The following is an 11,248-nucleotide window of genomic DNA, read 5'->3' as shown; positions in this document are numbered from 1 at the left end:
GAAGACGTACCTGCTTCCTCTCCACCTTCCGCCATGGCTGAACATTTCCTAAGGCCTCCCCAGCCATGCTGGCTGTGGGTGAACTATGAGTCAATTAAACTTGTTTTTTTTTTTTTTTTCATAAACTCCTCAGTCTCCGGTGGTTCTTTATTGCAGTGTGAGAATGGACTAATACTCTTAACAGGGACATTTATAAACAGGCCATGTGAGGACACAGCACCCCATTCCTGGGCTGTGTCATCTTAGAGCAGGGTGGTCTCTCTGAAGGCCGGGCTGTCTGCAGAGTGCGTGACATCCATCTGCACCCATCTCCTTCCCAGGGACAGCCTTTGGTTCAGTTCTTCATGTGGTCACCAAGGAGCAAAGCTCAGAGACAAAAGGCATTCTGCCCAGACAGCCCCAGGCCTTATCATCCATCTCCTGCAGACCAGAAACCAGTGCTTGTTAGCCTGGCCACCCCAGACAGCAGACAGGGTATCCCACAGGTGCTTCTGCACGTGGCCAGAGACTCTGCCTCCCCTGCTCACCTGTTGGTTCTGAGGAGAAGATGGGAACCAGGCTGGTTTTTCCCACGGCAGGATCGATGGGTGAATCCCCCACCGGGTGGTGAAAGCCACAAGCTCTCTGTCCCGTTTGCTTTCTAAACTGAAGTAAATAACTCAGGTCCTTAATTTTTCATTTTTGTGGTTAATCCTGTTTTCAGACATATCACAGACATGGATGAAAGGTCATGTTTCTCAGACATCAAGTTAAAAACCAATAGTGACCACAGTCATGAAAGAACATTCAGCCTGAGACAAAAGGGGTTAACGCACAGGGAAGATAACGACGGTGAGACCCGCCACCTGCAGTCCGGGTAGGAGAGGGGTGGTGACAGGGGGGGAGGGGGTGGTGATGGGGTGGGAGGGGTGGTGATGGGGGGGAGGGGGTCGTGATAGGGGTGGGAGGGGTGGTGATGGGGGTGGGAGACAGGTGGTGATAGGGGTGGGAGAGGGGTGGGAGATGGTGATAGGGGTGGGAGGGGGTGGGAGAGGGGTGGGAGATGGTGATAGGGGTGGGAGGGGGTGGTGATGGGGGTGGGAGACACTTGGTGATGGGGTGGGAGAGGGGTGATGATACACGCAGGCCCAGTGCTGAGGCTCAGGGAATGTCCGGGGCCTGAGGAACTGAGGGCAAAACCACTGTGCTGTCAACGAGGAGGTTTCCTGTTGGAAGCCTTGGCTTTGAATACGGACTGTTTTGTTAATAGTCTAGTGAACCAGGCAGGTGTATCCAATATCTGTAAAACTCAGCCTCCTCGTTTGTAAAAGGAAGACAGTATTTCTGACAGAGTAGTTGAGAAGATTGAGAACCACGCACACGTGGTACCGGGCGACGTGCTTGCTGCTCCACCTGAGCGTGGCGGTTTGCTCTCATCTGGTCTGGGCACCCGTGTGCTTCCTGGATCAGCCACTCTTGCCCATGTCCCTGTCTGCTCAGTAGCCAAGGAGCACTGTCCTCGGGTGTGGGGCAGAACCTCCCTTAGGGTGGGGTGGTGTGATTTATGGCAAACCCAAGATCCCAGGTAGAGCTGGCCCTGAGCCCCCGCTGCACAGGGAGCCCCCGCTGCACAGGGAGCAGGCGGCCTGTGGGAGAGCTCACTGCTGGGGAGGGCGTCTGTGCAGGATGAATGGGAGCTTCTGAGGCTCAGGCCCCCGGAGCAGAAGTCAGGACCCGAAGACATCGGTAAATACCTCTGACGCTAACCCCAGTCAGCCCCAACTTTTCGGTGGATGCTTCCATGGGGATTCCTTTTATGTTTACAGCACGTTACGTTTTCTGTTGTGGACACTGATAAGGTTCTGACAGCGCAGAGGCACTGGTTGCATTATTTTCGCCAAGCGTGGGCAGTAGATGTTCGTAGACGGTGGCAACAAGGGCTGTTTCAATGGGCATCTTGCTGCTGAGAGACTCATTTTATTTACTGTAAGGGATAAAAATTACACTTCTAATCTCACACACTACTCAGATTTCTGTAGGCCCCAGTAACAAGGTGATGTGGGGCCTTGGGAAAGTCTCCCAAAAAGAACAAAACATCACATTCCATGGGTGTGGTTTCTCGGGTACACAGAGCCCTGATGCCAGGACACTCCCTCTGAGTCCCAGCGTGCAAAGAGAACCCTCCCGTGGGTGGGTACCAGCTCTCCCTCTCTTCCTCTTCTGTACAAAACAGGGGGCCTCAGGCACCTGCCACTGGGTTCTAGGTCATCCCAGAACAGGCCTGTGGGCCCAGACGTGCTGTCCAAATGTTGCTCAGGGCCGTTCTCTGCTGGTTCCGCTCCTAAGCCGAATGTTGGTTGTGGGCTACTGTGCTCTCCTGGTTACATCCTGAACCCAGGACAACCTGCCCCCCAAATCCCCCACCACTGGGTTCTACTTCCTTGTAGGCTGGTTTGCATGTCTCATTAGGAATAAGACCACTCCGTGCTATTAATTTTACTTGCTTTTCCCGGCAGAGCCTTTGACACAGGAGTTGGTCGTGAGTCAGTGGAAATTATGGAATTTGATTGACAAAGCTGAAGTCTACTCAGACTATGCTTTCCTTCCCCAAATTCCCTTGTTGTTTAACCAAGCCTCAACTCTAGTTTTTAGCTGGACCACACTGAGGCTTCTCTTGTTTCCTCAAGTCTTATAAATACATCCCTGAGATCAGGAGTTCTCAAATGAGAATCCTCAGACTCTCTGCAAAATAAAAATTAACAACAAAGATTTTCTTTCAAAATTTTGTGTTTTCATTTCAGTGAGAGTCCAATAAAATTGCTTTCACCAGACATGAAGGCTAATCACTTTGCAAGAGGTAATTTGCAATGCAAATGCACCTATTTTCCCCCTCTGGATGTATTTTTAGTTTCTCAGGTCAGTGTTCCTCAAACTGGAACCTAAAAATATATTCTCAGAATAACATATTTTCCATCAAAGTGGCTTCTGCATTGCTCAGGTTTGAGAGACTGGACTTCTGAGAGGGGCTGGCATTGCCAGTTCATAGGTATTGCCTGACGTGGGGATTTAGAACATGTAGGGAGCCAGGCCCTCCCTGCAGGGTGTCCCCACGTACCTCCCCTCTGCTTTAGTGGCACTGGGAGGCTCTTGAGGGGAAGGTGCCAGGGTTGCTCTGCATCTCCCTTGGAGTGTGGCCTCAGCCCTGAGAGATGGTTCTCCTGGTTCTCTGGATGCGGTCGAAGGTCTGGTTGTTTATTCTCAAAGTCTGGCATGTTTGAATCACATCATTCTTCCCCAGTTCCACTCTCAGACGGTGAAGTGCTTCTTCCAGTGTGTGTGGGCCAAGGTGCAAATGCCAATTGTGTGACTGCAACACAGAGTCCTGTGGACTGGGCTATGATAGACAGAGATGGCAACCTTAGGTTGATGAGTGTCCTTCTGGTAGCCTCTGGTGTTATAAAGTGTCATCAGGAAGGGATGGTGAGTCCTGGTGACTGTCACCTTGGGTGACTACCCATATTTGGCCTTCTCTCCTGGCTCACTCCTGCTCACCTCTTGGGGCACAATAGGGTTATAATTTCCTCCAGGAAGCTAGGCTAGGAGGGATAGATGTACTAGTCAGGGTTTTCCAGAGAAATAGAGCCATTAGGACAAATACTGAGACATAGAAGGAGGTTTATTATGGGAATTGGCTTATGCGATCACCGTGGCTGAGAAGTCCCACAGTCTGTACGGTGGGGACCCTGGAATGTCGCTGGTATAATTCCCCAAACTGCAGACCTGAGCACTAGGGGCCAGTGTCCACGATCAGGGGAAGGTGGATACCCCAACTCCAGGAGGAGGAGCCAGGGGAAGATGGATACCCCAACTCCAGGAGGAGGAACCAGGGGAAGATGGATGTCCCAACTCCAGCAGGAGGAACCAGGGGAAGATGGATGTCCCAACTCCAGGAGGAGGAACCAGGGGAAGGCGGATGTCCCAATTCCAAGAGGAGGAACCAGGGGAAGGTGGATGCCCCAACTCCAGGAGGAGGAGCCAGGGGAAGGCGGATGCCCCAACTCCAGGAGGAGGAGCCAGGGGAAGGCGGATGCCCCAACTCCAGGAGGAGGAACCAGGGGAAGGTGGATGCCCCAACTCCAGGAGGAGGAGCCAGGGGAAGGTAGATGCCCCAACTCCAGGATGACGAACCAGGGGAAGGTGGATGCCCCAACTCCAGGAGGAGGAGCCAGGGGAAGGTGGATGCCCCAACTCCAGGAGGAGGAGCCAGGGGAAGGTGGATGCCCCAACTCCAGGAGGAGGAGCCAGGGGAAGGTGGATGCCCCAGCTCCAGGAGGAGGAGCCAAGGGAAGGTGGATGCCCCAACTCCAGGAAGAGGAACCAGGGGAAGGTGGATGTTGCAACTCCAGGAGGAGGAGCCAGGGGAAGGTGGATGCCCCAACTCCAGGAGGAGGAACAAGTTTACTCTTTCGGTACCTTTTTGTCCCATCTGAGTCCTCAATGAATTGGATGGAGTCGGCCCACTCTGGGGAGGGGGATTGTCCTTACTCCGTCCACTGAATCTAATGCTCACCTCTTCCAGAAACTCCTTCACAGACACTCACAGAAATTCAGGTGTGCCAGCAACCTGGGCCTCTCTTAGCCCAGTCCTGTGGACAGGTTGAAATTAACCATCTCAGCAGGTGTGGCCTCTTCTGCATCATGGGGTGCACCTCCATCACCGTGCGAAAAACAGATGCTTCATGGAAAGCAGTGTCCATTCCTTTGGGTGCGGAGAAAGCTCCTGTTCGCCTCTGAAACTTCATGCCAGGTCAGCGACTTCTGCAGGAGTCAGTCCCGGGCCTGGCATGGTGCTGGGTGCCAGGCTCTGATGATCCATATGCTCACAGTAAATGTAATATCAAGGAGGATAAAATTAGCCAAGTAGGTTACGGCCAGAGGGAAATTACTTGTTTTTTGCTCAATTTTGATGGAGACTGACAATTATCAATGGTCAATTTTTCTGATTTTCTATGAGTTTCTTCCACAGACTCTTATGATGCCCTGCCCGCTTACCCAGTATCACTGCCGTCTCCCCAGTTTGCTGCCCTGAACTCAGGTGAGAGCGCACACTTGCCTTTATACCTGCTGGAGCCATTCTTCTCTTCTTTCTGTTTGGAGCATCCTGAGTGTGTTTCTGGATGTGTGCACGCACACACGCACACATACATGGGTGCCCATGAACAGGCCTCTCGCACCCCCCAGACCCCGGCGTCAGGTGTCAGGGGGAGTGGCTGGTGCTGGGGCTCAGGGAAGGATCAATGAATGCAAATGAGGACGTAGGTGCCTCGATTCGGCTGTGACTGGAGCTATGGGGAACCGTCTGTCGAGTGTTTTCTCAACCTTGAGTGCAGTGGGGCTGCATTAACGATGGAAAGAAAGGGGCTGCCACAGGGTGAGGCGGGTCCATCCCTACCCGAGTGGCTGTGTCTGACCGCTACCTGGGGAACCTGCAGAAGGTTGGCACGCTGCTCTGGCCTCGTGAATCGGGATCTGCCATCGGCTGAATCAGGTGCTTTAGGAAAAGGTCCGGTCTGCGAGGCCTGTGAAAACCGTGATGAACTACACCCGCAGCAAGCCAGTGTGTACTTGGTAAGGCAACTCATGCTTCTGTTTCCAAGTGCAAGCATCTGTAACGGAAGTGTCGTCTTCAAGATCACAGGGCGGAGAGAGCGCTGCCCTGATTTTCTTCGCCTTTGTGATCATCAGGCTCTGAAGTTGAGGATGAGTCTGGAGAGCAGTTCTGGGGTCTCTGCAGCTTTTCCAGGAGGGCTGTCTGCCCGGGTGAAGACACGCTGTCTCAGCTGTTGTTTTAGGACCATGGGCCCTGGGGCCCAGGACAGCAGGAAGGCGGGTCCCAGTCTCCTTCTGATGGCTCCATCTGCACTGGGTAATTATTTTTGACACGAGGACATTTATCAGTGAGGGTGAGCTGTTTGGAGTGCCTGGAGTGCTCCCAAAAAGGAGTATTAGAACAGCTCAATCCAACTAAAAACAAACAAACAAACAAACACCAAAACTGCTAAGTGGGCTTTAGGACTAACAGCCAGATCCCAGCTACTGGAGTGAATTTAAAGAGTAATAATTAATCCTAACAATTAAGGGAATATATTTTGCCACCTTCTCCCTGAGTGGACGCAGTGAGTGGATTTGGTTGTGAAGAAGGCAGACGTTGCCTTTCTTATTGAAAAGATGGGTTCATGCAGCAGAGAAAGTAAGCTGGCAGGGATGGGTTTTTTCTGCTCAGGTAGCAGCGAGAGCGGCAAAGCGATCTGTTTAAACACTGACCTTCCGTGTTTTCCTTGAAACAGAAACAGAATTTTAACACTGGCCTATAGGATGGTGAGAAATGAACTCCTGGTTGCCGACCAGACTTCCCCTTCTCATCCCGACGACGCGGGACATAGGGTAGACGGTCCCAATGCCGACGTAAGTTCCACAGTTCATTCCTTTCCACGAGGATGCAGTGCCAACCCGGGAAGCCTTTATGGAGTGCCTGGGAGGTGCCCGGCCCTGGGCTTGGTGCAGGGGTGGGCAGTGGTGACAGACAGGAAGGTCACTGTAGGGGGCACACAGGGCTTTATATCATGTGGAAAGACACACGCCCATGAGTCTCCCAGAAATAGCACATCAGGTACTGCAATGCATGACAGCTTGAACCCGCAAAGCTGCAGTGAGCCAGAGAAGCCGGGCAGAGGTGGTGTCGGTGAGACCCTCAGGGAAATGCAGAGCAAGCCCGGCCCTCAAGTGTGGGTAGCTGTGGAGAGGCAGAGAAGGAGAGGACCCGCTGTGAGCATTCCAAGGCCAGCACAGTCACGTCCAAAGCAGGAGGCAGAGGTGAAGTCACTCATGTCTCTGAGGGAGAGATACAGAATTTTCTTCACACGTCAAAGTTAGGTTCTAGTATCAGAGCCCTGCTCATCCCCCTCTTACTCTCATCTGGCCACATCTCCGGGGCTTCCGCCTCTTCTATGGTCCCCGTGTTCATCTGGGATGCTGCCCTCGTGGCAGAAGATCACTTGCTGGGCCCTCCCAGCCTGGGCTCTTTAAGATTCGAGGACACCCTTGGGACCCATGGGAAATGGGGCAGAGGCACACAGGGAGGCCCCCATGTATTTTGTCTAAATATTTTAGAAGTTATCGCTAAGTCAGTAACTGCTGCATGTGTTCCAGCCCCTCAGCTTGACAAACATACATGCAGGAATACAGACCACGGGTATTGGTGGGCAGCAGCTCACATCTGGGTCCTGTTTGTGCAGAGCCCATGCTCAGCCACGTACATGCTGGCTGCTTTCATGCCACAAGTCCAAGTTAGGAGCTGAGACAGAGGCTGTGTGGCCCACAAACTGAACCTATCTACTATCGGGTGCTTTATGCAGAGTCTGCCAACCCCTGAACTAGACTGGTCTGCATTTAGAATTCTTATTTTCTTAGAGTTCCATGCCATGGGGCATGAGGAGGGCGGGCCCCCAGCAGGGACCTTCCCCTTTCCCATCCTGCCCATTACCAGGTCCCCAATCAGGGCCCCTCCCCCACCGTGTATGAGTGTAGCCACCCAATCCAAGACCATGCGCCCAAGCTCCATCACACCTTTCTATAGACTGCTGAGGCCAGCCAGCTCTTAGGCCTAAGGCCTGCTGTGATGAAGCCAGGTTCATGGGAGAGGCCCAGGTGAGCTTGGGTCAGACGTGGGCCACCTGGGTGATAAGGGCTAGGGGCTGGTGTGTGTGTGAATAGCACACACAATCACACAGTGTACATGGAAGGGGCTCAGCTTCCAGGTGGGGGCTTGCCTTTGCCCTGTAGGAGCAGTAGGAGGACCAGCACAGGAGCTTGCAAGCAAGAGCCCAGAGCAAGAGCCCCTCTCCCCTGGTGTCCAAGGATGGTTCTGCTGACCCAAGGGAGGAACACAAGAAGGGAAGCTTGAGATGCTACAAACAACAAAATGGCACCCTGTGTGCAAATCCTGGTGAGTGCACTTGTGGGTGCTGCAGCCACAGGCTCTGGAAGACACCCCTGCCTGGGCGAGCCATCCAGTCCTTCTCTTGCTGTTGGGGCCTGGATGCTCCAGCAGGGGCATTGGGCTGGGGTGACTCTTCTTTGCTCTGACTTGATGTGAGCCCAGTGGCTGCTTTGGAAGTGTCACCCTCAGGGGGTTTTGGTTGGCCTAAGAATCAATATTTATAGGGTGTCCTGCATTGTGTGTTTTCTATTTGTAATTCTCAAGCATGGCTCCCATTTCACTTAGTATCCAAAGGAGTAAGAAATCCTCACGTTGGATTCCATGAACCTAGGAACCCCAGTGTCTTCTGAACAGCCTTTTCCTCTTTGTGTTCCCAGCACACAAACTGTTAGAAAGATTTATGTTAGAATCCACCCAGCATCTGCTACCCAGAGCCTAATTTTGCCCTCCCTCTGAACTGAATTTTTAAGTTTTAAGTCAAATACTCGCTGATGTTTGCGCTTCCCCACTTCATGCATATTCTTCACCTGAGCCCCTGCACCTGGGGAGCAAACCCCTGTCCTGGAGGAAGCCTGATGCGCCACCTCCATTGTTAGAAAGCTCCCTCAGGCTGACGTAACCCTGTCCTGGACCTGGAGGAAGCCTGATTCACCGCCTCGATTTTTAGAAAACTCCTTCAGGCTGTCCTAACCCCATCCTGGACCTGGAGGAAGCGTGATTCCCCACCTCCATTGTTAGAAAGCTCTCTCAGGCTGACATCACCCTGTCCTGGTCCTGGAGGAAGCCTGATTCGCAGCCTAGATTGCTGGAAAGCTGTCTCAGGCTGGCGTCACCCTGTCCTGGAGGGAGCGTGATTTGCCGCCTCCACTGTTAGAAAGCTCTCTCAGGCTGAGGTAACACTGTCCTGGTCCTGGAGGAAGCCTGATTCACCGCCTCCATTGTTAGAAAGCTCTCTCAGGCTGAGGTAAGATTGGCTTCCCCGCCGCTTCTCCCTGGAGACCCTAGTTCTGCTCTTTGAAGCCAAGCAAGATTACTCTTTATAGGGCAGCTTTGCCTTTATTTGTAGATAGCTTTTACACATATTTGCTCCCAAATCAACAAGGTTTTCCCCAGGTACCACCTGGACTATTCTTCTGTCAGCATTTCTCACGTGATACTGAGTCAGGAGCCTTTACTGTCCTCACCCTCGTGTGGGTGGGAGCCTGGTTTCTCATCACTCTGGTTAGACTGTGCCTAATGTGGGGTGCTGCTTTTTAAGGACAATCAGCTCTAAGTTGAGGCTCTGATTCTTGCACGTGCTTCCAAGCACGTCTCTTCTTGCCATCTCCATTGCCACCCCAAAGTCACTCCCCTCGGACAGGGACGGCAGCATCTCAGTCATCACTCTGTACCCCATTTGACCAGCTGGAGAGTCCTGTGTCTTCACACAACTGTGAGAATGATCATTGGAAGCTATGCATTCCATAATAGCTTTATGTTAAATTCATTTCTCATCTTTCATTGGCCCTTGGGAAGACGTCCAGATCCCTTAACATAGCTTACGAAACCCTCTCAAACTCAGGGCCCACCTTTCTCTCCAACTTCATTCCCCCAGCCCCGACGTCATCTGAGGTTCAAGTTCAGTAGCCCCTCTTGATAGCTGAGCACAGGAAGCTCAGGGCCCTGCGTTTTGGGCATTTGAAGGGTTCCGCTGGTCGTGGCTTTCCCCACCATCTCCTCCGTTTCCACACGACTTGCTCCTGCATACCTCAGCTTCAGTGCCGCTCCGAGAGGCCTTTCCTAATGTCTGAACCAGGAGAGGCTTCCCACCACAAGCTCCTCTATGGGATTCTGGTTAATTACCAGTGAAACGTCCACCTTTCCAGCCCGCCTGTAAGCTAGGCCATAATAGGGGCCGTAGCCCTCCTTACAGCCGCGTTCTTGTCACCTGCGCGGTGTCCAGCGCACACTCGCCTCCTACGTATTTGCCTTGTGAGGGATCAATCGGTGTCGTAGAGCCGTTCAGAGCTATTCCTCTATTAAGTGATTTGGATACCATGGTGACTAAGAAGCATGCTGTGATCGCTGGGGTTTATGGAAATATTGTGTGCTCCTGAGCGTTCAAACAGGTGGAATATCAACTTTATTAAGCCCAGGTGGTGGTGCAGTTTAAATGCGATTTCATCTTTTCTTATTTTAATTTACGAATTGCTCAGTTGATCATATTAGAAAAGAGTACCCACATTGTGCCTGCTGGAGCCATATCTTTGTAAAAATTCTGAAAGCAAGGGGAAATGTTGGAGTAAAATTATCACATTTCCTAACAATGTCTGTTTTGACTGGAAGCTCTAATGCATAATTTTGTGTCAACCAGAATAAAAGTAATCTTTTTTTTTCCTGGTGGTGCTTTATAGTTAGATTGTAGGGAATCTTCATAAAATATGCCAGCCATGCACCTTTGATTCAATATTCATGTATTCTCCCACATACGGAATTTCAAGGCCATGTTTAAGGGGAATGAAACGAGGCCTCATAAAGAATGGCAGCTTATGCAGCTTACTTTTAAAAAGAGGCTCTGAGAAACCTTTAGCTTTTTCAAACTTCCAAATTTTAACCCCAAATCCACTAGAGCCCAAATACCCACATTTGTCTCTGAATAATCGTTTGCTTTTGGTTAAGGATGGTTACACTAGCACAATTTGTTTTTTTTTTTGAGATGAAGTCTTGCTCTGTTGCCCAGGCTGGAGTGCGGTGGCATGATCTCGGCTCACCACAACCTCCACCTCCTGGGTTCAACAATTCTTGTGCCTCAGCCTCCTGAGTAGCTGGGACTACAGGCGAGCACCATCACGCCCAGCTAATTTTTGTATTTTTGTTACAGATGAGGTTTCACCATATTGGCCAGGATGGTCTTGATCTCTTGACCTCATGATCTGCCCGCCTCGGCCCAGTCACACATGTTTCCCTACGCAAGCTCCCTATTGATTGGAATGATGAATATTTCCAATGGATCGATTTTCAATGGTGGAAGAAATTTGTCACTTGCATAGGTTTGTCATTTGCCTAGGCGAAAGGTTGCTTGATCTTAGAAGCGTCATTGCCTCTTTTTGAGAGGAAATTGAATTTCAGAAAAGGCTGTTACTAGATGAAGTGAGAACTGATTGAAATTATCAGTCACTCCTAATACATTTTGGGTGGACAGAGCCATGTGGAGGAGCTTCTAGGCTGCACATGAGATGGACATATTCCAAAGGCCCATGTGAATATACACATCTGTATTATGGGAGGAGA

The 11,248-nt window shown here is 51.4% G+C and overlaps 1 long non-coding RNA gene across 1 annotated transcript; it reads left to right on the top strand.

Moving 5' to 3' along the window:
* Window positions 1–708: 708 nt before the first annotated feature.
* Window positions 709–8,384, top strand: LOC105377784 (uncharacterized). The gene is made up of 3 exons (XR_001745761.2): window positions 709–856; window positions 6,327–6,444; window positions 7,822–8,384. It is a non-coding gene; the product is annotated as an uncharacterized LOC105377784 (long non-coding RNA).
* The last annotated feature ends 2,864 nt before the right edge of the window (window positions 8,385–11,248 follow it).

This window comes from Homo sapiens, chromosome 8 (assembly GCF_000001405.40).
Source record: "Homo sapiens chromosome 8, GRCh38.p14 Primary Assembly".
Taxonomy (NCBI): domain Eukaryota; kingdom Metazoa; phylum Chordata; class Mammalia; order Primates; family Hominidae; genus Homo; species Homo sapiens.
Note: the sequence above shows the minus strand (reverse complement) of the source record. Positions and strands in the feature narration are given on the sequence as shown.